The sequence below is a fragment of the Homo sapiens genome, chromosome 4, assembly GCF_000001405.40.
Source record: "Homo sapiens chromosome 4, GRCh38.p14 Primary Assembly".
In the NCBI taxonomy this organism is placed as follows: Eukaryota; Metazoa; Chordata; class Mammalia; order Primates; family Hominidae; genus Homo; species Homo sapiens.
This window is the reverse complement of record NC_000004.12, coordinates 165,690,215-165,707,246: the sequence shown is the minus strand read 5'-3', so window position 1 is coordinate 165,707,246 and position 17,032 is coordinate 165,690,215. Positions and strand designations below refer to the sequence as shown.

Genomic DNA, 17,032 nt, shown 5'->3' with positions numbered 1-17,032 from the left:
TTTAGCAATTTCTAATTTCTTTCTTTCTTTCTTTTTTTTTTTTTTTTTTTTTTTTTGAGACGAAGTTTCACTCTGTCGGCCAGGCTGGAGTGCAATGGTGCGATCTTGGCTTGCTGCAACCTCCACCTCCCAGGTTCAAGCAATTTTTTCTGCCTCAGCCTCCTGAGTAGCTGGGATTACAGGTGCGTGCCACCACGCCAGGCTAATTTTTGTGTTTTTAGTAGAGATGAGGTTTCACCATGTTGGCCAGGCTGGTCTCGAACTCCTGACCTCGTGATCCACCTGCCTCGGCCCCCCAAACTGCTGGGATTACAGGTGGGAGCCACCGCGCCCAGCCTCAATCTCTAATTTCTTTTCACTTCATTCCATGTTTGGAGAGTGCTCATTGTGGGGCAATCATACATTTTACCTGTGTTCTGTTTTTTAAATGCAAACACTTCGATAATATGCATGGGAAAAGAATCTTCTTTCTATAATTGGGCCAAAATATTATCTTTTCACAAAGGAGATTTCATATTACGCCTATAAACATAAAAGTATTAGCTCTAAAAGACAGTGCTGTGGTGTCGGAAAACGTCAGTTTTCCAATTTCAGTTTCAAAAATTGTATTGCGTCATTATACATGAAAGACCTGTAGCTACTAAGTGCTGTGGTCTCCATCACAGCAAAGTATCCCATAGTGAAGGAGAGATATATATATATGTATATCTCCAATTCCCATAACATAGGTTTTTAAAAGATCCCTTAATTTAGGTGTTGGGAAAATATTAAATTTACTATTTGGCTTCATAATCTTAGGCACTTTGTTAAAACATTTGGCCTGTTTTTGAAACAAAATTTCTTGAAAAATCTACTTGCTTTCTCCAGGAAAATAAAAAAAAAAAATCCCCTCCCAATATTACATTGCTTTTATTGAAAAAAGTCTTTCCTTTGAGAACTTGAGATCTCTGATGCTCTCATGCCCCTAGTAAGTTCCCTGTCCAATTACCTATCATCGCCCAGCTGTGATTCACACCCTGCACTTAGATTTAATGGTTAAAAAAAAAATTTACATCCAGAACAGTTCACATGAAACAGGTCAAAGGGACATAGCATGGATAATTCTCAGCACACAGATGTTCAACAGAGACAACGCAGAGACCAGCATGGAAATATTACTGCATTTGTAATCCCAGTGTGCTGTGGCCATTAACAAAGAGAAGCAGTGCAACGATGAGGGTTCACCTGTCTACTCTGGCCTGCAACATTTCAGTTGACCATGTCATTGTTTTCCTAACTACACCACAGCTTCCCCAAATCATAACTGCTACAGGTTGCTTTTTAGACACTGAAGATTCAGTCTGGAAAGAAAGTCACTGAAGATTGAATAATAGAATATAATAGTGTTTCCTCTAATAAGTCCTAGTGGTCACTGCTAGCTTACTGTAACACTTTGTAAAAATATGAATGAAAAGACAATGGCCCTTGCAACAAAAGTGATTTGCTTTAGAAGCCAAAGACTCATCACAGTGCTGTGAGTTTTAGAGGCAAAATGGCAAAAGGAGGAAGTAGAACAAAGTAAAGGAAATATTCAAGCTGGTCACAGTGGAAGGCCATGTCAAATGAGTATGAAGTCAGAGTTCACCAAAGCCTCTTGTGGATAGAAATCAAAGGTAACCTTTCCAGGCTGAGGCCATGCATTGTATCTGAGCTCTGGCCACACAGTGGAGACTTTGGGAGACCTCCAACTGACGGTTACCTTTAGAATGTTCACCTCCACAGGAAGACAGACATTTCATGCATCCAGCCAGTATTTATTGTTCAAGCTACTACACTAGGTGCTCTGAGGAATGCCCAAATCAGCCAGGCTTCTGTTCTGAATTCTACCCTCAAAGTGTCTAGAAAAGGATAAGCCAGGTACACAAATAACGGTAATACAGGGTAGAATTTGACAAGAACTATGAGAGTGGCATAAACGGCCATGGGATTGAGAAAAGGAAACAGATCCCGGCAGGAGGCCCAGGGGAGGAAATTCTGGAAGGGTGGGCAGTGGCTTCATGGAGGAGATGGCACTTTTTAAACTGGGTAATTCACTAATTGACCTATTCATAAACCTTTTCACTTTCCTTTCCAGGTCCTTCTGGAGGTTTCCTCATGGAAAGATGGATGAAAACAGAATGTGGCCTCCATCAATATAGTGCAATGTTAGGTAACAGAATCAACGCTACTTGATAGGGGTTGAGTTATGCTTAAGCAGGAAAGCACATGAATCCTTCCTAATCATCTACTGGTGATATCCAATATGGCGGCCACTAGCAGCATATGGCTACTTGTATTCAAAGTAATTAAAATGAAAATAAGTTAAAAATTCAGTGTTTCAGTTGCATTAGCTAAATTTCAAGTGCTCAATAGCCATATATGGCCAATGGCTACCATATTGGACAGAGCAGGTATAGAACATTTATTTCATTGCAGAAAGTTCTACAGGCCAGCACCAAAGGAATTAATATCAAAATTAAGAAGACTGTACTTTGCCACTGTGATTTCCAGGTCCTTCCACATGAGTAATTGTGAACTGTCATAAATTATATTGAAATTAGATATAAATGCCACTGAGAAGATGACAGAGGACTAGAAAAATCTATAATGTGATGCTGATCACATTATAGATACAATTTTAAATGGTTAAAAATGAAATTATTTGAATTTAAAAATGCCTTAGGGTATTTACCTTTGAAAACATTTGGAGAGAGGAAAATCAATTAAACACAGCATTAGTCAAGAAGGAGGAGACACGAGAAGAGATCAGAAATGCTGGAGGCCAGGCACAGTGACTCACGCCTGTAATCCCAGCACTTTGGGAGGCTGAGGCAGGCAGATCTCCTGAGGTCAGGAGTTCCCCGGAGGTCAGGAGTTCCAGACCAGCTTGGCCAACATGGTGAAACTTCGTCTCTACTAAAAATACAAAAAAATTAACCGGGTGAGGTGGCTGGCACCTGTAATCCCAGCTACTCGAGAGGCTGAGGCAGGAGAATCGCTTGAACCTGGGGGTCGGAGATTGCAGTGAGCAATCAAAATTTCACTCAAAGAAATTTTGCTCCACTGCACTCCAGCCTGGGTGACAAAGCAAGATTTCATAGATTTCATTTCAAAAAAAAAAAAAAAGAATGGAAAAAACAAAATGGTTAAGATGTGTAATCTGATTTAGAAATTAGAAGAAAAGAGGCGATGAAAAAATACACTTTAGTCAAGCATCAGGAGTGAATTTTTTTTAAAGTGAAAATGATAGAAAAGGAGAAATACTCTGGGGATATAGAAGACATCTTTTCTGAAGCCATTATCCACATAATCTAATTCTCTGGATTTATCTAAATCATCTACAAGAAGCCCACTTCCCTTACCTAATTTCTTGTATGACAAAGTGCATGTTATAAAGTTGTCTACTTTTTTTAATTAAAAGAACATTTATGTGTAATTTTAATGCCTTATTTGAAATTAGTCTTTCAACCTCAACATTATAAATCAAGTTATAAAGCCCCAGGAGATTAAAATATTATGTCACAGATCAGTGGAAATTTTCTTAATGATTCACAGTGAAATACAACTGCCTGAAACTGAGCAAAAGTTTCCTACTGAGAATTCAAAGAAGACATAATAGTTTGCCTCATTTATATCTCTATCATAATTAAAATAAACTTTGAAGGAACAATCTAAGATTTATATATATGTTAGGTAAACAATACTTACATTTTGCATTTTGACATTTGTGGCACTGAGGAATGTATACTTAAGTATCTTAAGGAAACCAGCAAAATATCTTTCTAAAAAAATGAACTAACTTTCTTCTTATTGTGAAATTGGGATTAAAGAAGAAATGTGTGCATTTAGAAAAGGTAAACCAGCACACAAAAACTCTAATGATGTAGTTAATGTTTTTTAATTAATGGAAGTGAGCCTCTTTAATAACCCAAGTTTATGAAGAAGGTCACAATTTCTAAGCTGCTTGAGTGGAAAGCAAAAACATATTTGATGTAAGCCATCATAAGTAATGAAGAAATTTTATGGCTTTAAATATTATTCAAGGTCATTTGTTACTTAATGTATCTTCTTATTAACAGGATGTTTTTACATGTTAAAGTAGCACCATATGAATAATCAATCAAAAAATAGTGTTTCATGAGAAATTGGAGGTTGGGGAATGCAAAAACCCAACTATTAACACTATTACCTGTTTTATATTTGAACAGTGTTTTCAAGTTGCTTTTAATCCTTACAACAGTAATATCTGAGAAGCATGATTAACTTCTTCCTACAGGTGGAGGAACAGGGCTTAGAGAATCCACATAGACTAGAGGTGTTAAGCCACTTTCAAATCAAAGCAAAACTTTCCCAGTGGGGAGCCAAGTGGATTGAGAGCTAAGAAGTGGAAAATTTGGTATTATGACCTAGTGTTCCAGGTTTTCTGTTCATAATTCAATTGTGGCAGACATTCGTGCCACTAATGGCTATCTCCTTCAGGGACATGGAAAGTTTATACTTCCCATCGCTTTCAAAGCTTGGCATGGCCACGTAACTTGTTTCAGCAACTATATGTCCATGGAAATGATGTCACATCTTAGCAAAAGCGTTTAATTAATGGCGCAAGACTCTCTAGCCTTCCCTTCTCCAGCATATGTTGATATGCATCTGTCCTGGACCCACAGAAAGAACTAAATGTTTGTTTTCTTGAGTCTCTGAGACATTGTAATTGCATATTACGAAGCCAGATCTAACCTATCGTGGCTAAAACATTTTGCACAGTCATGCTGCATAAAGACTTTTCAGTCAATGACAGACCACATATATGACAGTGGTCCCAAAAGCTTATAATACTGTATTTTTACTGTACCTTTTCTGTTTGTAGATATGTTTAGATACACAGCTTCTTATTATTGTGTTACAATTGCCTACAGTATTCAGTATAGTAACATGCTGAACAGGTTTGCAGCTTAGGAGCACTAGGCTATACCAATTAGCGCAGGTGTGTATTACTTACGCAAACCCATCTAGGTTTGTGTAAGTACGCTCTATGATGTTTGCATGATGAAACTGTCTAATGCAACGCAGTTCTCAGAAAGTATCCCCATCGTTAAGGGATGCATGACTGTATTTTAAACCTAACTGGGCCCCAATTCTATCACACACTTAAAATGCAGCCTTTTCTTTTAATTACTATAATATCAAAAATGTTTGATGGGTGCTTTGGTGCACTCAAAACAAATTCCCTGAATCCTTCTCTAATTACATTCCCTGCTACTTTTTATAACAAATCCATTTACCTCCATTTATTTTTAAGAGCCTTCCTCTTAGCACCAAATCTCAAAATAGCAATCTTTTGTCTTTGTGCTGGCAGTCAATGACTGTTCCTGAATTTTCATTCTTTCTCTCTTGCTATAATCTTTCTTCTCTTCTCCAGAACTTACACTTGGCTGTTCTGTAGCTACCAGATACTAACATTAAAAAGTTGCCGCTGCCACTATTCTGTCTAATAGTAGGTATTTTTTAAAGAGAGTACAACTGTAGCTGAGATCATACTGGTCCTTTATGCATCAGGATTCAAACTCAAACTCAAACTCATTTAGACCAAGGGAGGGACTTTACTGGATCACTGAGTTCAAGAAAGAGCTAAAGAATGAGAAGGTGTTTCACCGTGTTGGCCAGGCTGGTCTCAAATTCCTGACCTCAAGTGATCTGCCCACCTCAACCTTCCAAAGTGCTGGGATTACAGGCATGAGCCACCGCACCCCAGAGGCGGAGGTTGCAGTGAGCCAAGATTGTGCCACTGCACTCCAGCCTGGATGACAGAGTGAAACTCCGTCTCAAAAAAGAAAAAAAATGAATAAGAAAGTGGCATGGACAGAGGGAAAACTGTTCATCAGAAAACCTGGAACCAGTGAGAAAATCCTGTTTTATCCTCCTTCCAGTTTGATTCTATTTCTTTCTCTGTTCTAGCTTCATTCTTGAGACCTATAGACAATTGCTGTCACATGACAGTGGCAGCTCACACATTTCATATCTCATAGTCTCTCCACATGATAGATACTAATTCTTTTTCAATTACAGTATGAAGAATCCCAAAGGAGGTCTCAGGTTGGCTCAGTTTGGGTCAGATGTCTGTACTTCAACCAACCAATTAGGACAGAAAGGAGGATATCTTGCTGGCACTTGGGGCAGGTCTTCCTCTAGCCTCCAGGTGGCAGGGCTGGTCCCACAGATGGAAGGACAGAAAGGTGAACAGACAAAACTATAGATGCCCACTATAGACCTACCCCAAAATACTGATGTAGTTTAATCTGGTTTTAGTTCTTATAATTAAGATGTTGAGTATAGTAACTGTAGTATAATTTAATCAAGTAAGTTAGATTACAGTGGGTTTTATACAGCTATACTTCTGCTGTAACTGAAAATCTACTTTTTAAAATTATTATTATTTTTAGAAATAGGGTCTCTTTCTCTGTTGCCCAGGATGGAGTGCAGTGGCATGATTATAGTTCACTGTAACGTCAAACTACTGCTCAAGCGATTCTCTCACCTCAGCCTCCCAAGTAGCTAGGACTGCAGGATCATGCCACAACACCCAAGTGTGTTTTGTGTTTTTTTGTTTGTTTTGTTTTGTTTTTAGTTTTTAGTTTTGAAGAGACAGGGCTTCACTATGGTGCCCAGGTTGGTCTTGATCTCCTGGCCTAAAGCAATCCTTATGCCTTGGCCTCCCAAAGCACTGGGATTACAGGCATGAACCATGCTCAACCTTCTACTTTTATTTGAAGGTAAAACTGGCTTACAATTGCTTTTAAACTAAAAACTAACAGTGAAATCTGGAAACCATGATCCCAACTTTGCACGAAGAGTAAATGAAAAAAGCATAGATCTGAGACAAAAATGCTACTGATCCCACCTGCAGGTCAGCTCTATAGTCAGAGTGTTCTTAATCTCACCTCTTCTTCTGATCATCCTTCCTCTTCTACTTTAATCACTTCTGTATTTCAGTAGGTTGAAATGACCTCTTATTGCACATTGAAAATCACATTTTCAAGATGCTCCTCAATTCATATATGGATAAAAAAGGTATAGAAAAGGGAAATTCACTTGTCCTGCTCTTGTAGAAAAAAAAATAAGCATTCTCATTGAAATAATTTAAGAATAAAATATGAGAACACAAGAATTTCCTTGGTAGAGTCTTTATTTCATAAATTAGTTCCTAAAACTGTAGAAGTGTCTGGGTGAGCTTCTCTAGGGTACTGGGGATGATTTTCATTTGGTGGGAAGAGTTTCAAAAAGCAAATTTCTACATCTTTTAAAATCCTAGCCTGTTTTCAGTACGCTACCATTTAAAAATATTACGCCTACCTGAAAATCAAAAGGTATCTATATATGTAAAAATAGGATGATCTTAGAATTTGTTGCCTAAGCTTGAAGACTTTTGAGATTGAAAGGGGGGCATTATTAAAAATATGGCTGGACAGCAGAGTAAATTGAAACAGTTCTTCCCAAATCAAATCTTAAAATCACTCTACTTAGAAACAACAATTGATCAATTTGGCTTCCCATTATGCTCCATTTCCTACTCATATTGTAAAAGAAAAAAAATCCTTTGCTTTTTTGAAAAATGGGGAACGCTACAATTGACTTATTTTCCATGAAACATTCATGTGTAACTGGCAAATTTTAAAAAAGAAAGCTGATTATGTATACTGTCTTAAATCACAGAGATGCCATTTAGAATCTATAGTTTCCTAGCCCAGCTAGAGTCAGTAAGTCAGGCCGTAACACACTGTTACCATTTGGACTTGGCCAAAAGAAAACGAGGCCTTGAAAATCCTCAACTGTGGTGGACCACAGCCTCACCCCTCTCCCACGGCTCTGGAGATTTCCAATGGGCTGAGGCCTCTCTGTCCAACAGCAGAGATGAAGCCATAAATCAGACTTTCCTTCGAATCATGGGGAGAGGACTGGGGCAGTTACTGGCTATGTTTGTTCTCCACAAAGGCCATTCTATCCCGACTTGTTCAGAGCAGTTACTTTCAGATTTAAACTGAAAGGAATGCATCGATTGAGTACTGCACACACTTAAAGTGTAAAAAGAAAAAAGCAGAAATTATTTTGAAATAATTCTGTTTGCCAGAATTACTTAGGCTTTGAGCTTTTCTTTCAACCCATTTCCAATTTCTAGCATTATGTTGTCATTATTCAGTTATGATATAAAACAATATAGATATTGATACAAGGCATTACTGCAATGCACATTCTGACTGCTGTGTTCTGCCCATTAATTCCTGTACTTCTCTTACTCTCCAAAAACTATGAAATCTCTTAGTATTGGTCATCATTTAAATCCCTCATCGATATTGGAAAATCTCTCCTCTTTCTAAGTGTGCTTTCGTTCTGTGTTTCTCTCATAAGGTTTTCCCACTGCCTATTCATGGAAATATACATTTCATTTACACAATTATAAAGCACATTTTTTTAACTCCATGGCCTGCTTCCCATAATTCTAAGGCACTCAGATATGTCAGATAGACATCTCATTCTCTTCCTAAATGGAAGGTAAGGAAAAGCAGGTGACATTCCAAGAGCCACATTAAAAAAAAAAGTCTCTGGTAACTGTGTTGAGATATTAAGGCCAATGGTCCAATTATACACTATTAAATTCCATGAGTGAGTAGGGATTCGTTCCTTTATTTACAAGGACCACCACAGTGCTGGATGAAGCCACTTAAAAGTGAATTCTGTCAACTTGTGAAGAGCAATTCTCTAGTACCATAAGTCTTTCAAAGTATGATTTATTGCCTCCAATAACACTTAAATATAGGCTGAAATCATTCAATCATTTTTTCACGGATTCAAATAAATTTGTCAGAAAGTTATAAATCATAGCCCAAGGATAGAGAGGGAAGCCTATAATATTCTGCACAGTATCCATTTGGGGTATGAATCAATCAATTGTGCTCATGATAAATTGAACAACTTACGTGCCTCACACTATTAAAAATAATTTTAGTGAATGAGTCACATAATTTTCTTAGTGGTATGCAATAGTCTTTTTTAAGCTTGTGAAATACGTTAAATGTTAAAAGAAGGAAAGGAACACATACCCACATGTATATATAGATATATATGTATACATCTTTATGTGTGGATACATGCATAAACTACACATACACGTGTTCACAGATATAAATCATGATAGAGAGATAGAGGGGGAGAATAGATATACGTGTATAGAATGAATTAATCACAGACAACAAACAGAGATGTTTAGAGTTACAATAGTTATTTACCAATGTGGTGTAGTGTTTGGTGTATGCCAACTGAGTAAATGATCCTTTCTCTCCCACGAGCACAGATCTCCACAGTGCTAAGTTTACGAATTCAGTTTTCTACAGTTGTAAAGACTAAATAGGATATTTCCAGTTCATCATTATGAGCTCCTAATTTTATGAAATGTAAAAGACTCATAGATACCCAAGGTATGCAATGGAAGTCATCTCTTCAAAAATAACAGGCATTAGGATTTAACTTTAGTTTTAAGGCCTTAGGGCTTTTAAGTGTTTAGAAAACTATTCAAATGATAATAAAACTGAGAGCACAGCTGCTTTTGACAGTTTATGTTTCTTCTAAGCATCACGACTAACTGTGACTAATCCCTCCAAATTAACTTAATTTTGTAGAATGAAGCATATCAAAATATTGAACAAAATCCTTCTTGCGAAGATGAGCCAGATTTGCACATTCACCCTTCTTGACTGTTGCAAAGTCACCTGGGGACACTTAACATTCCATAGTTCAACAACCCTGGCCATTTTTTACTTCTAGGGAGTAGTAAACTTTTACTTTCTTATTGGAATATTTTATACCTGAATATAGTTTATGTCCCAGTTTTTACTTTCTTATCTTACTAATAACTCACTTTTAGACAGAAATAAAGGAAGGGGACTTCAGTTGACAATAAGAAAAATGACTTAAGTGAACAACAAAGAAATAGATGCCAAAAAAGCCCTCTTCTTATTTTTGTTTTAAGTATTTATAATTTTTTCATTCGAATAATACCTTTGTAGAATTTGGCGTGTTGGCTAGATGATTTTAAAATGGATGATAATTTATATTCTGAAGCATCCCATGCCCACATAGCAATGGGATTGGAAAATACTTTTGGGCCACTCTCAGCAATGATTGTGATTCTCGGATTCTCAACAATTTACTCTGAGCAGGTAAAATAAATTCTGAGTAGCAAAGAAGAAGGTCATAAATTTTCCATAATGTAATTATTATAATTGGGTTACCTACCTATGGAAAAATGCAAGTTCAAATGCACAACGTTCCAGATGCTGGATTGATAAAAGCCTGAAAATTAGTTTTTAATAAAAACTGTTTGTAATCTAGCCCAAGGTATGTCAACGAACCAAATGTGCATGACTGAAATTTGCAGGAAAATCTCTTGGAAAAGAATAACTCAATTTGTCTAAGTACTTTGCAAACATTTTATGTAAAAGTTTTATAATTTGACTCATTACAGAGGCCCCTCAACTGCCCCCCCGCAAAATTATAGCCAAAACCCAAGAACAAAAGTTAACTTTTTTTAGTTGCCAATGTTGAAATTACTTTTTCTGTTCCAACCTCCTTGTTATCTAAGTGGCTCCTGAGACCAACGTCTGAATGAATGCAGGGAAGTTTCCTTTGAATGTGAGATTACACTGGCCCAAAATAAAAACTTAATTTTTCCCTAGATCTTTTCCTAGGAATCATATTATTTCTTTGTATAATATGTTCAAACTCTGATGGTGTCTATTTCCGCAATCACATCATGGTATCCTAACCCCTTACTTCCCTGAGGTTCACAGTTAAGCTGCCCAGCAATTTCAGAATAGAGCCCATCTATAATCCACTGGATAACGAGCAACCCTCTGCTGAACACTGTGAAACTCCCACCAGTAATGAAATGCATGTTTTGCTAGCAAGTACTATCCAGCTTTAGAGAACATTTTCTTTTTTCAGTTTCCCATGCCATAAAAAACCAGGAGAAAAATATTTCTTTTTTTCTTTATTTTCCCCTTAGCTCAGAAATGTAAATAGTGTTTCTAGATCTCTTGGATGTGCAGAGGAAATTTGGCCCCACTATTTAAAGATGGTGATCATGGTGTACTTAGGACTTTATTATTCAAATTATTTTATTTCTTGGCAGAACATTAGGTCAAAAAATAACCAGAGGCTTTAAAGAATAGGAACAAACAGCTGTTTAGGACTGTTTTCTGGTTTTTAGCATCCTTACAAACATGTCAAAAACCCTATATGGATCTTATAGAAATAAGTAAGAGTATTTTGAGTAAGCCTTTAAAGAACAATACACTACAGACTGTTCTGTAAAGCAAAAGGGAAAAAAGTGTGAATGTTTTTGCATGTGTTTATTAAGAAGGCTGGGCAAATGTACTCATTCAATTAGGAGTCCCAGATAATCAAAAGCCTAGGAATCAAGGCACATCAGGATGGGTTAACAAGCACCATGGTTGAACATCCCCAGTTTTGGGTTTAGCATACCTGTAGTCATGATTGGGGGCACGTAAAGGGCACAAAAAATAAAAGCTGATAGGAGAATTATTCTGAAATAGAATTATCTTTTAGAAGCAAATCAACTTGACCTCTGACTTTGGTTGTAAAAAGAAAACCCTCAGCACATTGATAGGGTAGTTGACAATTGAGAAATTAATTAAATTTTACATCCTAACATAAATCTGGGTTTCCAACAGCGGCCCAAGAGGGAAGGTATTACGAGCAGGAATAGAGAGGACAGAGGGGTGCAGAGGAGGAAAGTTGGGGAGAAGCCAGCCCAGACAGAGCACAAGGGCAGGGGCCTGGGACCTGAGAAAAAAGAACATTAAGAGAGCAGTGCCTGGAAGAAGGAATGACTGGTGGAATCTTAGGAACCAAATGGTTAGTATTTAGTGTAAGATTTTTTAAAATAAGTTTTTTTTTTTCTTCTTAATGTTGGGCTAGGCTGTACGACTTAAACATCTAAGGAGATGATAACTGTTCTTCAATGTAGCTCCCCCAACCTTGTTGAATGAGCTACAGATCATTCTTAATAAACCTATCACTAAAGTATATGAGTGGCATTTGAGGAAATAAAAAAGTGGCTGGATTCCATTGACCTGGAGAAGAACGGAGTCCCCAGTTGGTAGTGGAAAGGCTCAAGAAAAGTAGAAACTTGAATGGAAAAAGGAATTTAGAAGAAAAAGTGACCAGGAGAAAGTGCCACTTATTTTGTGAGGACACGTTGGAACTTCAAGCCATTTTTATTTAAAGATCAAAGGACCATATGCCCTCCACAGGCTGAGACTAGAAGTCCAGGCAGTTGGCAGAGGGTCTACATATAAAGTAACCAGCATGGGTGGTGAGTCTGGTTAGCATTCAGTAAAGTCAAAGGAGAGCCTAGAGTGGGTGCATGGAGCCATTTTTCTGGAGCTACTTTAGTAATGTTCACCTTAAGAGTACAGTCACGTGTCACTTAATGGCGGTGATACTTTTCTGTAAATGTGTTGTTAGGTGATTTCATCATAGAGTGCACATGCACAAACCTAGATGGTATAGCTTACTACACACTCAGGCTCTATGGTATAGCCTATTGCTCCCAGGCTACAAACCTGTGCAGCATGGTACTGTTTTGAATACTATGGGTAACTGTAACACAATGGTATTTGTGTACCTAAATACATCTAAACATAGAAAAGGCACAGTGAAAATGTAGTGAAACTCCACCTCTACTAAAAATACAAACAAATTAGCCAGGCGTGGTGGCAGGCACCTGTAATCCCAGCTACTTGGGAGTCTGAGGCAGGAGAATCGCTTGAACCCAGAAGGCAGAGGTTGCAGTGAGCCGAGATCATGCCACTGCACTATGGCCTGGGCAACAAGAGCGACACTCCATCTCAAAAAATGTATACATAGTATAAAAGATAAAAAATGCTACGCCTATATAGGGCACTAACCATGAACAGAGCTTGCAGGACTGGAAGTTGCTCTGGGTGAGTCAGTGAGTGAGTGATGAGTGAATGTGAAGGCCTAGGACATTGCTGTATACTACTGCAGACTTTATAAACTCTGCACACTTAGGCTACACTAAATTTATTTTTAAAAACTTATCTTTCCTCATTAATAAATTAACCATAGCTTACCATGAACTTTTTACTTTATAAGCTTTTTAATTTCCTAAAACTTTTTGCCTCTTTTGTAATACCATTTAGCTTAAAACACAAACACATTGTACAGCTGTACAAAAATAATTTTTTTTACATTCTTATTCTATAAGCTTTTTTCCTATTTTTAATTTTCTAATTTTTTTTACTTTTTAAATGTGCTTTGTTAAAAACAAAGACACAAATGCACTCATTAGCCTAGGCCTACACAGGGTGAGGATCATCAATATCACTGTCTTCCACCTCCACTTCTTGTCCCATTGGAAGGTCTTTAGGGACAATTACATGCATGGTGCTATCATCTCCTATGATAACGGTGCCTTCTTCTGGAATACTTCCTGAAGGACCTGAGGCTGTTTTACAGTTAATTTTTTTAATTTTATTATTATTATACTTTAAGTTCTAGGGTACATGTGCACAACGTGCAGGTTTGTTGCATATGTATACATGTGCCATGTTGGTGTGCTGCACCCATTAACTCGTCATTTAGCATTAGGTATATCTCCAAATGCTATCCCTCCTCCCTCCCCCCACCCCACAGCAGGCCCCGGTGTGTGTCCATGTGTTCTCATTGTTCCTGTTCATGTTCCTGTTCATGTTCTCATGTCCATGTGTTCCCCTTCCTGTGTCCAAGTGTTCTCATTGTTCAATTCCCACCTGTGAGTGAGAACATGTGGTGTTTGGTTTTTTGTCCTTGCAATAGTTTGCTGAGAATGATGGTTTCCAACTTCATCCATGTCCCTACAAAGGACATGAACTCATCATTTTTTATGGCTGCATACTATTCCATGGTGTATATGTGCCACAATTTCTTAATCCAGTCTATCATTGTTGGACATTTGGGTTGGTTCCAAGTCTTTGCTATTGTGAATAGTGCCTATAAGTAGGAGAAGTACACTCTAAAAGAACAATGAAAGTGTAGTATAGTAAATACATAAACCAGTAACATATTCATTTATTATCAAGTATTATGTACTGTACATAATTTTATATGCTACCCTTTTATATGACTGGCAGCGTAGTAGGTTTGTTTACACCAGTGTCACCACAAACACATGAGTAATAAGTTGCACTAAGATACAACAATGGCTTTGCTGTCATTAGGTGATAGGAATTTTTCAGCTCCCTTATAATAGATGGGACCACTGTTGTATATGTGCTCTGTTGTTGACCGAAATGTCATTATGCAGGGTGTGACTGTATACAGCTACCTCTTCCCTCAGCCCACTTCCAGATAAAAATAAACTCTAAAAGAGCAGCAGGGTCATCTCTAGGAAAATAGAAAATGAATGATCATCTAGGACCCCCACACCCCGTAATCACCTAATTTTGACAAATAATCTAGAAGGCAACATCTCTAAAATCCTTCAGGATACTAGACTGATAATAAACCAGACCCATCAGTTAATTAATAGAGAAGCAATGTTTCTGGCTTATATTTTTAAAAATTGGATATAGCAAAATATGTTATTTACTACAGATATACACCCTCTGCCTACAAGAACTTGAAAATGAGAGAAATAATAGTGTCCTATGGACAATAAGTCTTGAGTTTAAACCATCATGATTTAAAGTGAAAATAGTGTAAAAATCATATTTAAATGCAATAACATATCTAAAGAAAGAAAATAGTAGCCATAAAGCAAAAAAAGAAAAAAAAAAGAGATTTTGAAAGACAAAAATAGTGAGTACTTACTGAAGCATTATGCAATGGAATGCCGCATTTCCTTAAGGTCTCGACCTGTTGAGTCAGTGGGCATGAGGTGCATTTGGTTGAGGTGCCCTTAGTTGACATCTTGAAATACTCAAATCATGAGCCTCACTCCACCATTGCTCACCAAGCAAACTCCTTTTTATGTAGCTTACCTATAAGGAGATAAATACTGATCAGATGTAAACGATACATTGTACATTTGATGTTTTTATGTGCTGCTGTAGGTTAACAAATTGGCCATTCTGATTTACATATCAGGGTTTTGAGCTTGCAGTTTAAATCTTTTTCTAAGAGGAAAAAAAAACTTTTAGGGTGTTAGAAAACCAGGCCACTGAGTCTAGAAGGCTGGAGGTCAAGGTCTGGATCATTACAAATTACCCAGGTAACCCCACCCCACAAGGCATCTATGGAATAGTCAGAGTGGCTTTTTTGGTGCTACCCTGACTGTGCAAAGGACTACCTTGAAATTCAACAGAAAAATATCTCACTAATGTTCATTATTCTCTTAATATATAATGACTCAAACTACTACTATCAAATACACTTGGCCTAAAATAAAGAATAGGAAAATAATGAACCAACTGTATGGAGTTTCACTCAATAAGTTTGTTATTAAAAACAACAGAAACTGAGTAGCTAGATTAAGAACTAAAATATACTTTAAAAGAATAAAACACCCTGCAACTCTTAATTTACCACTGTAGTCCGAAAACTAATATATCTACATCTGTTATTAAGGTAGAATTTCGCTAATTGTAATCTAATGTAGTAACTTTAGGTTCTCTTTTTTTTTTAAATATGTTATTCTCAAAGATCTAGGTGGCATCATTGCGATTTTTTTTTTATTACTTCCCATGTACAGAAAAACTTTGCTATCTGGGAATAACATTATTTTTGGCTTGGACCTTATGTGGAGAATTGTAGTGACACATGCAGCTGTTGAAATGTAAATGAGAAATAGGTTAACCACATATGGAAACTACACTTTTTATTCCACCTCTATGCTCCTTTCTCTTAGTTTAATAAGCCATACTCAACTTCTGCTTAACAGAGAACACTACTAAGTACTGTCTAGGAATTTAGCTTAATTTTTTAGATTTCATATTAATTATACCATTTTCACAGAGACAGAATTTGAAAAGATCAAATAATTAAGCTAAAATATACATTAAATGTATATTAAATGAAAAGATCAAATAATTAAGCTAAAATGTATATTAACTGATAGTCCTTTGAAGCACATCTAAAACACCTTTTATTTCCCTGTCTGGAGAAGTAAAGGGTTTTCTGTGTGTAAAGTGATGTGATGTGTATTCATAAGTAGAGCCCATGTTACATACTGACTAGCAGAATAGAGACAATAGTGATATGGCTTTGAGACCAGAACCCACAGAATCTAGTATATCAAAGTAAAAAGCAGCTTACAAAGTTTTCTTTTTTAATTTTGAAAGCATTTATTAATTCACCTGTTTAATAAATATGTATTGAACATCTTCAATGTGTTAGGCCTTATTTTGGTGCTGCGATACCTAAACTCTGTGTTGCCGTAGATTACGTTCTAGTGTGAGAGATAGACCCTCAACAAGATCAGTTAAAATGAGTTGTCTATTAGACAGTGATAAATGCTAAGGGCCGGGGTGGGGTGGGGTGGAGAAAAAAACAAAAAACATAAAAACAAAGCAGGGAAGAGCTGTTTTGCTGGTGGATTTTGCGATTTTAGATAGTGCAGCCAAGAAAAACTTTACTTGACTCAAAGCCTGAAGGACATTGGTTAAAAACCAGCAAAGAAGTGGAGAAGAAACCACATGGATTTGGGGAACATCACTGTCACAGAGAACAAGGCCAGAGGTGCTGAGTGAGGAGGAAGCATGTTAAGGATGACGCACGCCAGGTGCAATGGCTCACGCCTATAATCCCAGCTTTGGGAGGCTGAGGTGGGTGGATCACGAGGTCAGGAGTTTGAGACCAGACAAGCCTGGCCAATATGGTGAATCCCCGTCTCCACTAAAAAAAAAAAAAAAAATACAAAAATTAGCCGAGTGTGGTGGTGCGCGCCTATAGTTCCAGCTACGTGGGAGGCTGAGGCAGAAGAATCTCTTGAATCCGGGAGGCA

General features: G+C 37.3%; 1 long non-coding RNA gene across 1 annotated transcript in view; it reads right to left on the bottom strand.

Annotated features, from left to right (window-relative positions):
• Positions 1-17,032, bottom strand: part of LINC01179 (long intergenic non-protein coding RNA 1179) — a 78,140-nt gene that overhangs the window by 55,532 nt on the left and 5,576 nt on the right. Inside the window, exon 3 of the long non-coding RNA NR_121676.1 lies at positions 14,902-15,071. This is a non-coding gene — a long non-coding RNA (long intergenic non-protein coding RNA 1179). The remainder of the gene's footprint in view (positions 1-14,901; positions 15,072-17,032) is intronic.